At 39.9% G+C, this 15594-nt stretch overlaps 1 protein-coding gene across 3 annotated transcripts in view, besides 5 other annotated features; it reads right to left on the bottom strand.

The window, feature by feature from the left end:
* AKAP13 (A-kinase anchoring protein 13) overlaps positions 1–15594 on the bottom strand; it is a 368756-nt gene that overhangs the window by 117919 nt on the left and 235243 nt on the right. Inside the window, exon 1 of one of the 3 annotated variants that reach the window (NM_001270546.1) lies at positions 11268–11490. The exons of the other annotated variants lie outside the window; for them this stretch is intronic. Within the exon in view, the coding sequence (NP_001257475.1) occupies positions 11268–11348 (81 nt within the window). The 5' untranslated portion in view covers positions 11349–11490. Of the gene's footprint in view, positions 1–11267; positions 11491–15594 lie in introns of those variants that run through there. 3 annotated transcript variants of the gene reach the window in all.
* Positions 1732–1901: an enhancer, noted in NCBI's record as "experimental_42264 CRE fragment used in MPRA reporter constructs". NCBI's record gives its function as "activates a minimal promoter by MPRAs in K562 erythroleukemia cells, with activity observed for both the introgressed and non-introgressed 15:86172855 variant alleles {active_cell/tissue: K562}" and the evidence as "EXISTENCE:reporter gene assay evidence [ECO:0000049][PMID:34662402]".
* Positions 2588–3129: an enhancer, noted in NCBI's record as "NANOG hESC enhancer chr15:86171542-86172083 (GRCh37/hg19 assembly coordinates)". NCBI's record gives its function as "activates a minimal SCP1, AML or CMV promoter by ChIP-STARR-seq in naive H9 embryonic stem cells {active_cell/tissue: H9 hESC(naive)}" and the evidence as "EXISTENCE:reporter gene assay evidence [ECO:0000049][PMID:30033119]".
* Positions 13310–13479: an enhancer, noted in NCBI's record as "experimental_42240 CRE fragment used in MPRA reporter constructs". NCBI's record gives its function as "activates a minimal promoter by MPRAs in K562 erythroleukemia cells, with activity observed for the non-introgressed 15:86161277 variant allele {active_cell/tissue: K562}" and the evidence as "EXISTENCE:reporter gene assay evidence [ECO:0000049][PMID:34662402]".
* Positions 15148–15197: a silencer, noted in NCBI's record as "silent region_6784". NCBI's record gives its function as "represses an Ori minimal core promoter by ATAC-STARR-seq in GM12878 lymphoblastoid cells {active_cell/tissue: GM12878}" and the evidence as "EXISTENCE:reporter gene assay evidence [ECO:0000049][PMID:35858748]".
* Positions 15258–15307: a silencer, noted in NCBI's record as "silent region_6783". NCBI's record gives its function as "represses an Ori minimal core promoter by ATAC-STARR-seq in GM12878 lymphoblastoid cells {active_cell/tissue: GM12878}" and the evidence as "EXISTENCE:reporter gene assay evidence [ECO:0000049][PMID:35858748]".

Below are 15594 nucleotides of genomic sequence, written 5' to 3'. Positions count from 1 at the left end.
GTAATTCACATACTAGAAAACTGGCCCATTTAACGTATATAATTCAATAGTACTAGTATATTCATAGAGTTGTGTAACCATCACCACTATGTAATTTTAAACATTTTTATCTTGACAAAAAGAAACCCTATATCCATTAGTAGTCATGCCTCACCCCCATCCCCTGTCCCCTAGTGCCTAGAGAGCCACGAATGTATTTCTATCTCTACAAATTTGCTTACTCAGGACATTTCATACAAATAGAGTCACACATTATTTGGTCTTTCATGCTGGGTTCTTTCACTTAGCAAAATGTTTTTGAGGTTCACCCATGTTGAAGCATGTAACAGTACTTTACTTCTTTTATTTCCAAATAATATTCTACTGTATGGATATATCCACATTTTACTTATCTATATGCATCAGTTGATGGAAATCTGGGTGGTTGTTTTTTTTTTCACTTTCTGACTGTGACGAATGATGCTGCTATGAACATTCAGAGTTTTTGTGTGGACATGTTTTCAATTCTCCTGGGCATACGCCTAGGACTGGAACTGCTGGGTTACATACATGGTAACTTTATGTTTAATACTTTAAGGAGATGTCAGACTGTTTTCCAAAGTGGCTGTACCATTCAACAATTTTTCTACATTCTTGTCAACACCTATTTTTGTTATCTTTCTTATTGTAGCTACCACAGTAGGTGTGACATGGGTGCTCATCCTGAGTTTCTTTTTTTTAATGGAAAAATCTATTTTAAAATCTATTGTTACTTTCTAGAAAAGGAAGATTGTGTGAAGATGTAAGGCTCGCCATGCTGGGATGTTTCTATCCTTCTATTTTTTAAAAACTGTGTTAAGTATCTTCTATATAATAAACACTGTACCAACCAAGCCTTAAAAGCAGAAGTAGTAAAATAGCTTGTCCTCAAAGAACTCACAGCTTACATGTGAGATGTGAAAATGTTAGGTCGGTCAATAAGCCTACCATAGCATCTTGCATAGTAGACAATGAAATGTGTGTTCACTTGGACAATGCATGCTGTAATTAATAGAGATGGGAATGACAGTGAATGGAACACCACATTGCATAGAGTATTTTCGTGCTACGTATATTTCTGGTTGGGTCACAAATGTTATATATACAGAGACACTGGGCCGGAATTACAATTTTCCATCTTAGTTCATTGTGTTTGTGTGTGTGTGTGTGTGTGTGTGTGTGTGTGTTACAATTTTCCATCTTAGTTCATGATGTGTGTGTGTGTGTGTGTGTGTGTGTGTGTGTGTGTGTGTGTATGTGTTAAAAAACAGAGAATAGAGAAGTCAGAGATGGCACACACCAGTGTCTAAGAGCCAGAGAACTCGGGAGATTAGAGCTTCACAGAAGCTGCTGCAGAGAAGTCAAAGCAGATACAAAACAAAAAGAAGTTACTGAATTTGGCAACTGTGAGCTCAGGAGTTCAAGACCAGCCTGGGCAACATGGAAAAACCCTGTCTCCACAAAAAATACAAAAATTAGCTGGACATGGTTGTGGGCGCCTGTAATCCCAGCTACTCAGGAGGCTGAGGTGGGAGGCTGGCTTGAGCCCGGGAGGTGGAGGTTTCAGTGAGCCAAGACAGCACTGCTGCACTCCAGCCTGGGTGACACAGCCAGACACTGTCTCAAAAAAAAAAAAAAAAAAAAAAAAAAAAAAAAAGGCTGTAAAGGAACTCATTATATTTCTAGATTCATGATACTTTAAAGTACCATCCCATAGATTTGACCTTTTTACATACCCCTGAGAAGGCATGTTGCCATTTTAGAGAGGAAGAAAACACACTCAGTGAGGCTTGGTGATTTGTGGAGAGCATACATGTAGATGAACTATATTGTATTTATAGCTTTATCTGCTCAAAAGACCATAAGCTTCCAGAGAACAAAATCGCATCTATTTAACGGATCTCCCCAATGAGTAGTAAGTGCATGGTTCATGGTGGATGCCTAATGAATAATCTTTGAATTCATTATCCTCAGTGATTCTGAAGAAAAAAGTGGAGAGACTCCCTGAGGATTACAGCCCTGCTTCCCTTTACTAGACCCATAAAAAACCTGAGGCCAAAGGAGGCAAAGTAATTTGATGAAAGTAATAAATATTTCAAAACAGAGGACCCAAGGTTTCCTCACTTCCAGTCCACCACAAATTTCCCCCTCAAGAGTCTCTTCTTGTTCTTTTCCCTTTTTCTTCTTTCTCCTTTCATTTTCCCTCCTTCCCTCACTTCCTTCCTTTTCAGAAGAAGAAGCTGTCACCCCAGGCTGGAGTACAGTGGTGCAATCATACCTCACTGCAGCCTCAAACTCCTGGGCTCAAGCAATCTTCCTGTCTCAGCCTCCTGGGTAGCTAGGACTACAGGCATGTGCCACCATGCCCAGTTGTTTTTTAAAAATTTTTTTGGAGAGGCAGGGGTCTCACAATGTTGCTTAGGCTGGTCTTGAACTCCAAGCCTCAAGCAATCCTCCCACCTCGGCTTCCCAAAGCATTAGGATTGCAGCCGCGAGCCACTGTGCCATCTCTTCTTATTCTTATATTTGTCTTAGAATTCAATAATAATTGTTTACAATTTTTTAGTATTAAATTGAATAAGTTTGGCAAAGTGTATTTCACATCTTCAAGAAAGATTTATTGGAAAACAGTCATTGTTGATTTAGACAAAAATATTTAGAAAATAAGGCATTACTGAAATGACACAAGTAAAATATGAAACTGGATACCAATTTTTTTAAATATCAAAATGCTGTAACTGAAAAAAAAACTGCTGTTTGTTTGTTGTTGGCTCTGTCAATTACTAGAATCCTGTGGTTTTAATCACCAGCAGTTAATTAACAATGATGTCCTGAGGAGGCTCACTGTCTCTAAGAACACAAGAAGCTCAAGCAGATCTGAGATGATGCACACTTTCGGGCAGGTTCTCTCTTCTGAATTAGGCTTCATTCGTAAACATTTAAAAGTAAAACCCATACTGAAGAACAGTAACATTTCCGATAATTCGGGGCTTCTGCACCAGGATTGGGAAATCTAGCAGAAGGCGGCTTCTTAACACTATCTTGCTGTCAGCTACACACTGACACTCATCCACACAACTAGCCAGCAGCACTTATGGAGTGCTCACTTTAGGCAAGAAACCAGGTTAAGGTACAGCAATAGACAAGAAGGTGAAAAAGATGATTCTGATTACAATTGGCATAGTAGCTACCACGGTTTATAAGTATAATTTTAACACAAAATGCCTTGGGTTACGAAGGCTTGACATCCCAAGATGATAGATATATACATACATCCTTATGAGTCTACGGATTATCAGATTCAGTGAGACAGCTCCACAAACCATGGCCTATAAGTTTGGAAACACTGATTAATTTGTGTAATACAATAGGTACACAAATAGCTAAAATCCACAAAAGAAAGTCCCCAGCATGAAAATAATTCCTGCTCAAGAATCTGGGAAAAGCTCAACAAAAGCGTTGGTATATGAGGTAGGCTTTAAAAGCGGACAATATGCTTGCAAGAGAAAGATGGTAAGGCAGGGAATTCTAGCTATACGAAAAAAGCATGAGCAAAGCAGTTAGGACACTCCAGAGCTGGACTTCATAGCCTTTCACGTCACAGACTCCTTCAAGAATCTGCAGGAAGCCATGGAACCCTCACCAGGAACGTGCACACTACGTCACAATCGGCGGTTCTTTGCATAACCTCATAACCCAGGCTAAAGACCTTTGCTTTTGATGTTTTTCAGGAACACAAAAAGCCCAACAGTATCCAGAAATGTAAACTGAGCAAGGAAGAACAACAGGAGATACAGCTACAATGAATCTAGGCTTTGTTCTCTAACAAGGGTGGACCCTGTCAATCATATAAGAAAGGTAGTAAAAAGATCAGTACTATACTTGGCCAATAACTCTAGATGTGTACAGATACAATGGGAGAGTAGGGAGGAAGGAAACACACAGTATCTGAGACACAAAAGCCAATTAGGATGAGCCTGAACTAGTCTAGTCTAGAGGTAGTGTATACCTGGACTGGGAAGCACATAAAAGGTATACATCAGAGAGCTAGTACAAAGGGCAAAATTCACAGAAGTAAGAGAGAAAAACAGGTCAAAGATCCACAATGAACAGAAATAGGAAATCTAGAGGGAAGAAGATGATGTACTCCATTTGCCCATGTTGAGTTTGAAATAACAATATGTCCTGCAAATGGTTACACAAGGTTTCGGAAGCTTGAGAGAAAGGCTGGCGCTAGCTTCATTTGTTCTTGAGATAACAGACGAAAAGAGCAAGCAGGAGAGCAAAGGCAGAGCTTGCAAAAAGAAAAGACACACTAAAGGTGGCATTCATAGTAAATAATACCTATTCGCAGATGGGGTGGTTTGGAAAGCTCATACTTGCTGGCTTCTTACAAACACAAACAGGACAAAAGTAAGTGTGCATTAGGGAAATGCAAATCAAAACCACAATGAAATAACACTTCATATCCAACAGGACAGCCATCATTTAAACAAAAAAAGATAGAAAATAAGTGTTGGCGAGGATGTGTTGAAATTGGAATTCTTGTTCATTGCTGGTGGGAATGTAAAATGGTGCAGGCACTGCGGAAAACAGTATGACAGTTTCTCAAAAAAAAAAAAATTAAACATACAATTACCTTATGATCCAGCAATTCCACTTCTGGGTATACATGCAAAGAACTGCAAGCAGGAACTCAAACAGATATTTGTATACCAATGCTCATAACAGCATTATTTGCAACAGCCAAATGGGGGCAACAGCCCAATGTCAATTGATGGATGAATGGGTAAACAAAATATGGTATATACTTACAATTGAATATTAGTTTGCCTTAGAAAGGAAATTCTGACACATGCTATAATATGGATGAACCTTGAAGATATTATGCTAAGTGAAATAAGACAGTCACAAAAGGACAAATGTTGTATGACTCCACTTAGTACCTAGAGCAGTCAAATTCATAGAGACAGAAAATAGAACGGTAGTTGCCAAACTAGCAAGCAAAGAGAATGGGAAGTTAGTGTTTTAACAGGTAAAGAATTCCAGTTTGGGAATATGAAAAAGTTCTGGAGAGACAGCTGGTGGGATGGTTATATAACAATGTGAATGTACTTAATGCCACTGAACTATATACCTAAAAATGGTTAAAATTTATGGTATGTACCTTTTATCACAATTAAGAAATGAATGAGCAGCAGTTAGAGATATGCAAGCTTGTTTAGAGAAAAGTAGTCAGGCAGCCCACACAGTTAGAGTCAGAGCCAGTAATCTGGGCCAGACACTACCAATCATGGTCAATGTCATTAACCAGAGGACAAGCTCCATATGTACTGTGTGTGGAAAGAATGTCAAAACATGTATCAGCATTTTCAACCACATCCTGTGAAACAGCAATACCACCAAGCGTATCATATTCATGTGTGAAGAATATTGTGCTTACTATAAAGTAAGCTGCTTAAGAGATGTAAAGTTGATTACAAAACATCTCCCCCCTCCTTCTGCCCTATTTCAGAATCATTGATGTGGCAGATACATTTGTTCTAGTCTTGGTTCTATTCATCAACAACTCCACTATTTCTTTCTCACTCAAACAACCAAGGCAACTTAAACGCCACACTATGTGGCTCCATTTGAAACACTGTCAGAGTGCTTCCTACAGGCCAGATACAATGCCAGGCCCTGAGTACATACATGGAAAGACATCTGAAACTTCGTTTTTTAAGCGATGGGGGTCTTGCTAGGATGCTCAGGCTGGTCTTGAACTCCTGGCCTCAAGTGATCCTCTTGTCTCAATCTCCCAAAGTGCTGGGGTTACAGGCGTGATGTGAGCCACTGTGCCTGGCCACATCTGAAACATACACTGCAGGAAATCAAAAGCCACCAGACATTTTTTTCATTAAAGGGATCCTGTTCTCATGTTAGTCTCTTTTCCAAACGTGATTCAAAGACTGAGGTTTTCACGCTAACAGATAAATTGGATCCTTATACTATCAACACTCTTCTCAGTCAGTTCTGAGACTAGGCTTGGCAAAAGATTCTGATCATCAGCAGAATTAGGAGACGGGATAGGAAAAAATCATCAGTGTTGGCAATGCAAATAATTTGAGTTTAAAGAGAAAAATGAAGATGATTATGTATCTTTCTATTCAGATTTACCCTTTTGGAATCTTCAGCTGTGAACAAAGTATAGGACTGGCAACTGACTAAATGGGTAGGAAAGTGAATGGGTGATGTAGAGAAGCAAGTAGCTGGAAATGTGGAAAACAGAGATTTTACCATTAAACATCTACATCTTTTAGAGAGACAAGTCACCAAAACATACATTTTGGCTCTAATCACATTTATGACACTTTAGCTACAAAACATAGTCATTGGTTTTCCTTTGTCCATATTATCTCCATGACAACCAGTTCATGGACACCGCAGGTATTCAACATCCAAACTTCTGGTGAATTATGGTGCACATGAAATATGGGATAATGGAAGTTACCTCAGAAGAAATGCCAGACCTATCCAGGTTACTCTGAAATTTCTGACATGAAGCCTATGGACCCCTTGTGATTATCCCTAAACCACACCCACAATGTGTTCCCATCAGTCAGAAATAGAGCTGTACATATTTTCAGTGGAGAGGGAATTGTCTTTGTTTCTGGCAGTGTTTCTGTTACTGTTCGTATCTGAACATCCTAATAATACAGCTCATGGTTACACCCAGCCTTCCCAGCCACTAACCATATTTACTTCCTCTGCAACTGTCTCAGGAGATCCTGCCTGAGCTACAAGGCTGAACAAAAGGAAGCAAAAACCCACCATCCGGACATAGAAGCCAACACTTGAGTCAAAGTCTTTTCAGGGAATTGGACAGTATCTGAGTGGCTATATATGTGGTTGTCTTCAATCCAGAGCCTCCTTATGTCTTTTGTTTTGTTGCAATGCGGACATCTCTTACAGTAAGCAAACTTTTAGGGAATGTGTGTTTCTCTGCAAAATGACACCATAATTAGAGACAGACTATTCCTCCTCAGCCTTAGCCAATGAGCTCGTGTGGCCTGCCCAAGTGTCGTGAGTCGGGGGGGAATCGTCCTGCTCTGTAAATATTTTCATTCAATGTAAACAAAACACAGTTGCAAATCTTTTAACCATTCAGCTAATTAATGTTCTGAATTACTGCCTATAAAATACTCTCTATAAATCATCAGTAACAAGAAGAATCACATTACTATTAACAGGCAGTATTTTTCCAGGTACCCAAAGTTATAAAATTAGTAAAACAGCAATGGCCCAGGCTAAAAGCAGTGCAAATCAGCAGTTAATCCTTGATTCTGACCTGCTTCCTTTTGGTACACTAATTTTACAGTCAGTTTCTGATACCTGCTGTCCTCTAGTAATGCTCACCATGAGCTAAAGTTGGCTACTGAACTCAGTTAGGTGAAAGCTCCCATCAGTTACCAACTTCCGAGGTCAACACTAGCTTTTTGAAGGATGCTGAGGAAAATGGGCATATTGGTACCAAAGGGCCCATGCCAACAATTACAATTCTTTCATATCCCATTTTTAGCATATGATTCATAGTTACCAACCACATACTGTAAGAGTCAGAAGTGCATGCATCAAGAAAAGGAGAACTGGGGGAATGTCATATACAGAGGAACAGGAATGGGTATGTGTATGTTACGCTGGAGAACAGACAGGTGGGTGACCAAGGAATACTATCAACTTAGGTTTTATTACTTAGAAAAAGTTCAGAATAGAGGTAATATTTCAGAGGCATTGGGGGTTGATGATGGGACAGAAGAGCTGATGTGAGGATGACACTAGCGTACCCAGCCTCAGGGAAATCTTACAAGAAGGTCTTGATACAGAAAAGCTACCGTGAAACTATGCAGAACTAACAAAGGAAGCAGGGCAGAATGCAGAAGCAGCCAAATAAAGCGTGGGTATATAACACAGAATGAGAATGCTGAAGCTAATCTACAGTGAATTATTAGGATGTCAATGGGAGGGATTGGAGTTGTTAAATGTGGAATACCAAAGTGACAGGCTCACAATTTAAACTCTGTAATTACTGCCATATTTCACCTCATCTGTTAAACACAATTTATATAACATGATGCTTATGAATCCATACTTACAAAGATAAATTCATTTAACCAACAAACGTTGTTTTGAGTGTTTAGATAATATTAATGAACAGATAAAAATGACAAACTCCTTAGTACAAAAAAGCAAATTTCCACAGATAAAAGTGGAGAAAGTGCACATGACGGCTTGAGAATTTATGTGGCACAGGCACCCAACTATAGTTTTTAAAACACTGATAGAAAATACTGAAATTAGAAATAATTTTGTAGAAATAATTGGAGAACACTACCAAATGGTTTTTTAGAATTGTGAGAAAACTTTGCTAAAAATCATGGGACAAAATGAACTTATATGACATGGTGTACCTATCCTAAGTATTGTAGAAGGAATTCCTGCACTGAGAAAGAAGAGAACAAAAGTCTAAGATAGAAAAAGAACACATACGCTTATATCAATAAAAGCTAATATACATATTCATGTAATAAGAGGAATTTATCGACTCAAAAAAGAGGTCTAGAATAGCAGGAAAAACATGGACTTTGAAAACAGTCCAACCTGGGACTGCACTCTATTATCAATTACATATGAGATGTGAGACACTGGGAAAGTTATTAACTACACCAATCTGTTTTCCTGTACGTAAAATGAGACAAAGAGTAGGAATGTAAACACTATATGCCTGTGTCTCATATCCATTCACTTCTTCCCACTTCAGACCACAAAATCCTCTTATCCTGCCTGTGCTATCATAACGGCAGGCTAACCGATTACTACCAGAATAATCTTTTCAACACGTACACTGAGAGGTAAGGCATCCTCCCCATAGCTGTTAAGGCCCTGCTCTTCCAGGTCCCACCTCTGGCTCCGGCCTTCTCATCCTGCTACCCCACTTTCCACTCAAGGTGCTCCCATCCACCACAATGGCCCTGTCCATTCCTTCCTTCCTCAGGGCCCTGTATTCACTGTTCATTCTTTCTAGAGAGCTCTTCCTTAGCATAGCTAGTGTCTTTCCATCCTCTGGAGATCAGCTTTTTAAATGTCTGCACCTCGAAAAGATCTTCTGTCTAAAGACCATTCTATCTGAAATAGTTCTGCCCATTATTCCCTACACAGCACCCTACTCATTTCTTTCAAATCAATTATAACAGTTTGTACTTATTTATTTCTCTATTTATTGTCTACCTTTAAGCAATAATGGGATAAAGACTGTAACCCGTGGCTCGCATGGGATAGGTACTTAGGTTTCTTTGAGTTTATAGTTCTCAAAGATGTGGTCTTCTCCATCTCCAAAGCAAAGAAACTAACACCAAACGTCCCCATCTTATTTCAAACTGGAAACAGGGTGTTTTCAGGACTCCTAGTGTTTATTTACTAATGACTATTTTCTGAGAAGTGAAGTTTTCTCCACTGAAAATCTTTTATTATTTATTGGGCAGGATAGTACAAATACACAAAGACAAACACCTTTATTAGCTGTAGGTTTGTGGGGAAAACAAAAAAACAAAAAACCACATTCTTGTCACTCAAATTCTTCATACCCCTTACCATGCTCGAGAAAACCCTCGGGCTCTTCATATGAATATGGGGTAAAAAGTAACTGCCTGGCAAGTCTCAAATTAAGTAACGTATATGGAAGTGCTTCATTAAAACTATAAAACAGCAACTCTGAGGCCAATAAGCCTGTACTGATTTAGCTCCATTCACAAGGGCTTTCCATGCCCACCTAGAGTATAAAGTATTATATATTTTAGCATTATTTTAAATGTTCAATATTTCTTGTGATACTCAGATTTTCTTTTTATCCTTCTCCCCACCCGCAGGCAAAATCATAGGGTATCATGGACATAAAGATCCTAAAAATGAGATTCTCCTAAATACATTATATGAGGACAAAAATTTTAAAACATCACCGTGATCTCACAGAGAAAATCACATTTCTGAGAAACCAAAATGAATAATATCTTGGAACAATTTCAAAACACCAAGTTACCAACTGCTGGCAGCCGAGGCCCAGCAAGTCAACCACCTGACAGTGATTATGGAGAGACAATGACAACACTCTACCACAAATCACAACGCCTCTACCTAGTGCCCTGCCCAACATGGCATTTCATTGGTTTTTGTGTCTAGCCTTCTGAGCCCATTCCTTAGCCTCACTTGACCAAAGAAAAAAATCGAAAAGACCCAAGTAATAAACTGAATTGATAAATCAATAAAATAGGTCCACTATTTCCTTGACCAAGGCAATATATTTCCACTTTGCTTAAAATGACCCTCACCTCCACATACACCCTCACAAGTTCAGTTACTGAGGTTCTTTCTGTCATCTATGAAATGCTTGGTTGACTTCCAATTTCCCCTGCCTTTGCCAGAAAATTGCTAAATTTCCAAAAAGTGCTCTTTGAGCTGTCCAACATTCCCAGACTCTCATCTTACCGGCTGGAGGAGTTCTTACTAATTTTAGATTCAAGGATGCCTTCTGTGAGCAATTAGCTATTCAGAGTCTCCGCCCTCATCCTGCTTAGACACCAAACATCACTAATGCGGAGAACACAAACAAATACAGCTATCAACAAAGTCAGAAGCTACCTCTGAAAAGCAGTCAAACCAAGCCAAAAGGTCAGCTCTGCCACCTTAATAGATAGGTTTATTGGAAATCCTTCCAAAAGAAATAAATGTTGCCTATCCTTCCCCTAAAGAATTGAACGAGACAGTAGCAGAAAAACAGAAAAGACTCAGACAAAAGACAGAAATACTTAAAAGACAGAGGCAGAGAGACTGACAGAGAAAGAGACCAGGCAGATGGGGGTGGAGTCTGGGGGCGGAGGGGTGACAGAGACAGAAGGACAAACAGAGCAACTTGGAAGGTGAATTTCTCTCTCTGTGATTTTCAACAGTATGAGGTTCTCCCAAGCATAAGAATCCATTTTAATGAAAGTAAAATTACATTTCAACAGTAAGTGGTCCAATGCTGATTACCAAGCACCTATTGCTTCCTGTTCAGATATTCCTTTAAGAGGCTTACATTCACCCCTCATCCTCCACTGTGCACAGATTTCTCGGCCTTTCTCCCAATACAGGAGGGCCAGGGACATGGCTACCGGGTTCAAAGCGCTAAAACAGCCTGCAGAGCTTCAGAATGCATGAGGTGCAGCCCCCCTTACCTTCAGCAATACCACGTCCACAGTCCTGTCCACCTTGGAGATGTCACAGAGGCTGTAGCGCCTCTTGTGCCGTTCATACATTTTGCCCAAATGCAAGAAAGAACAGAGAAAATGCAGGAAGTATATCCACTGTTAACTTGGGGACCAGTGCAAGTCCTTAGTTCCAAATTTCTCACGGTTAGGTGGTGGAGATCTCTGCCTTCCAGACTCCTCTCTATTAAAACTCTCAAAGGGGTCAAAAACAATGAATTAAAAAGAAATCAAGCAGAATCCAATGCCTTGAACTGACTGAGAACTTGCTGATAACTTCAGAGTGCTGGAAAGATGAATGTAGAACTCATAATATAAACAATAAATACCACCTAATGCTATACTTTGTGCAGATCTTGACTGAAAGAGAAGCAAACACCGTTTCCATCACTGGCAATGACTCCAGTAAAAAAATAAAGAATAAACTGGCTAAGCATAACGGCCGATACACGTAGGGAAAAAAACCCAAGAAGGCAATAAAAATCCAGTATATACTTTGCCAGGAAGAGGGAGAGAAAGAAAGGAAGACGACGCTATTTCAAAGCGATGGCATGAAAAAAGTCATTAGATTCTGTTCTTGCTTAAAACAAAAACAAAGACAAAGAAAATCTACTTTTCCTTAAAAAAAAGTAGAAGCTGGGAGATGCTTTTCAAAGTAAAGTCTTTGGAATCTCTCTTGCTCACCAGGCAGTAGGGCTTGGTTTTGATTTAAGTTGAAAATCTCTAAGGACAGCAGAGTAAAAGGGAAAAAAATAAAAGACCACTCCTGCTGTACTCCCTCCCTCCCTCCTTCCCTCCCTAGCCAGCCTCCTCCTCCCTTTTTCCTTCTCTCTCAAGAACGTCACTGCTTGCCCTTTCAGCTCCGCACCCGCAGCCTTGGAGGTTTGAAAACCCAATTGCAGTTGTGGGAACATGATTCATCTACCGAGACGAAGAGAAAAACAAGGCTTCCTTTTCCAACCCGCTTCTTCTTCCTCCTCCTCCTCCTCCCACCCCTATGAAAAAGGCTCTGTCAGGCATTGCAAGATGCAGCTCAGTTCTTTGATGTCAGAGTAGTATGCTAATAAAGGAAGGGGGGTGTTATACTAAACACCACAAGCGTGTACAATGGACTTGTCGTGAGGTACAGAAAATTGAAACTACCCAAAGCATACACTATACCTCCCTGCCAAATGCAAAGCAATGATTTAACACGAGAAAAATGTCAGCCAAATATTGCAGTTATGTCTCTAGGATCGAGACGTGGCTATAAATGTGTCTGATAAAGTTTAAAAATTATCAAGAGTTAAGCTTTATTTTTGGGGAGGGAGAAGGGATGATGGAGTTGATTTAAAGAAAATGAAAAAGAAAAGGAGTGGAACAAAGGAGTTCTGTGTATGTTAATATTTGTTGCGACTAAGTATAGCTGCCTGGCTGGGACTTCTTCAGTGTTTCTATGCACACTAACTGGGTCTTGAATTGTGGGTCTGCTACTTCATTTGCCTGTTTTCTTACTATTCCAGACCCTTCTAGCCCCCCACTCTATCTAACATTCTCAGGGACAGACTTACTTCAGAATGCATTCTCTCACCTGAGACATTCTCTTACTTGGATCATGAATGATTTGGGAGGGAAAAGGATGAGGAACTGAGGGAAGCAAAAAGCAGAAAGGAGTGAAGAAACAAAAGAAAAAGGGATTAAAAAAAAAAAAGGATTTCTCTTTCTAGGAGCTGCTGACATTTTCCTTGAGTTGTCCAGAGTAGTCCTTAGCTAGGCTGTGAAAGCAGTGGCTCAAATACCACAACAGAAGGGGAGAGGAGAGATTTAACACCTACATTTCTGTTGACATTGCAAACAAAGTTGGTGAAAAGGTTTTTCAGGAGCTAAAAAACGGATATAGAAAAAGGGTATAGATGAGTTGCTGTGTCCTCAGGCCAGATATTCAAGTTGCTGACCAGCTTAAAGGAGGGAAATACAGCAAACCCTGCTAAGAAGACTGTAAACGTCTTCCTCAACTTTCTATTAATACACCCCAGCTACATACAGGCTTTATTCTGAAATAAAAGCCATAAGGTTTTATCTCCCTATTCCTCACTGGTTCATCCGAGGAATGAAGGCGGACAACCCCTCCCCTTCTCGTGCCCCAAGTGAGCCTTGGCTCTGTAGTGGTACCAACATGTGCAGTGAAACAGATGTTGCTTTTCATTACAAATGAGGCTACAAAACAGTAGAAACAAGACGATTTGACAGAGATTTAAAAGTTGTAAATAAAATTCTTGCTCAGGCTTATCAAAAGCATGGGAACTTGACCAGAGATTTACAAATACTTCCAAACTATGTGGTCTAGGGCACAGACAGAAAGAGCCTTTAGGCTTGAATGTATAGATAAACTGATACTTTATTATCTTTTCTGTAAAAGCTTTCACCAAGCTAGAATGTAGAACTCGCCCTTCTTCTTTTTTTGAACACAGAGCTGCCTCCCCTCTGTCCTCAATATGGTTTGTTCCTCACTGCCACTCCCTTCTGTTTTAATTAGAATCAAATGATTCCTGCTTCCAAGGTTCCCAGGCATCTGTCTCTCTAGGGATCAGAGATGGTTTAATCACCATTAAAACCCTCCTACCGGCTGGGCGCGGTGGCTCACGCCTGTAATCCCAACACTTTGGGAGGCCAAGGCAAGCAGATCATGAGGTCAAGAGATCCAGATCGTGGCCAACATGGCGAAACCCCCATCTCTACTAAAAATACAAAAATTAGCCAGGCATGTTGGCACATGCCTGTAGTCCCAACTATTCAGGAGGCTGAGGCAGGAGAATCGTTTGAACCTCGGAGGCGGAGGTTGCAGTGAGCCAAGATCGCGCCACTGCACTCGAGCCTGGCAACAGAGCAAGACTCCGCCTCAAAAAACAAAAAACAAAAACAACAACAACAACAAAAAAGCTTTTCTACCCTATCCCTGTCCAGTGACTTACATGCAGATAATTTATAACAATGTAACAGATATTTTGTGACTTCTAGTGGAGGCAAGCAAAATAAATAGGTAACAAGGTGTCTGTCTTCAGGAAGTTTTTAGGAGAGAGAAACTTGTTTCAAAATAATATAATTTTCTGAAAGAGCCTAGATTACTGTTTGAGACATAAAGACTAACCTTTTTATTTCTAACTTCTGGCTTTGTGCCACAGGCTGGAAAGCTAGATTTCCTGCTCTTTCTGCATATTAAAGGACAATTCCTTACATATTCTGTTCCTTGTTGGAGGACAAATACCCTGGGTGGGAAACAAATGCTCTGGGTGGAAAAAAGAGTCTGTGTTGCTTTCCCCTCTGGATCTGCTCAGCACTCCCCAACAGAAGACAGAATCTGCAGTCTTGTGCTTTTGCAGTTGATGTGACAATTCCAAGTTTTTATCAAAAACATCTGGAACCATTGAACAGTAATTCTGCCAGGATTTTGAAATACAGCAACCAATCATTTCATATCTAAACCAGAGCTGAGAGTTACAAATTTAAAGGAGGTTCTGAGTTTATTTCCCTTTTCTTTTAATTTGGGGAACCTGTAGTAAAATATTTTATTATTTACAGCCATACTACTTAACAGTAGTTACTTACAGTATTAATTGTCTTTCCTTTCTTTCTGCAGCCTCCATCCTGCCCTCTATCCACACAAATGGTCCCAGATTCTTTAAAAACAACCAGTGCTTTTAATCTGTCTCATGCCACAGGGCCAACATGCAATTATTAAAGATTCCAGAAAATGAAATATAAAAATATTTTATACATCTTAATTTAGCTATAGCATTTGTGTTCATGAATTAAATTTTCATTTGATTTACTTAACTACAAGATCTAGCACCTTACCAAATTGTTTAAGCATTCTTATGGGTCAACACTGTGGCTGCTTTAGTTCCAGTTAGGGCAGAAGCCCATCTGGAGTCTCACAGCAAAGTTTCTGAATTAGGACACCACCTAGTGGGGGATGCTGAAGACCCAAACAGAACACCAAAGGCCAGTGAATATTTTTGTGGGGGTGTGGGGATAGGGGTAGGGCTCATCTTCTGCTACTATGTATTTTTTCCTGAAACCCCAAAGTGAACATAAAGTAGCAGCATGTGAATGGACACTGGTTAATGACTCATCAATGATCAATTTTACTCTCTGCAGAGAACACAAGGTACTAAGTGAAAATCAAGGGTTCTTTGTCTTCCTAGGTGTGCCATTATCTCACTGAGCAACTTGGGAGATACTAGTTTGACCCTCTGGACCAAGATTTCCAGAATGGAAAAATTAGAGATTCAACGCTAGGTCATATCTGAAGATCCTT

This window comes from Homo sapiens, chromosome 15, assembly GCF_000001405.40.
Source record: "Homo sapiens chromosome 15, GRCh38.p14 Primary Assembly".
Classification (NCBI taxonomy): Eukaryota; Metazoa; Chordata; class Mammalia; order Primates; family Hominidae; genus Homo; species Homo sapiens.
The sequence above is the reverse complement of the archived record's forward strand: the minus strand, read 5'-3'. Positions and strand labels throughout refer to the sequence as shown.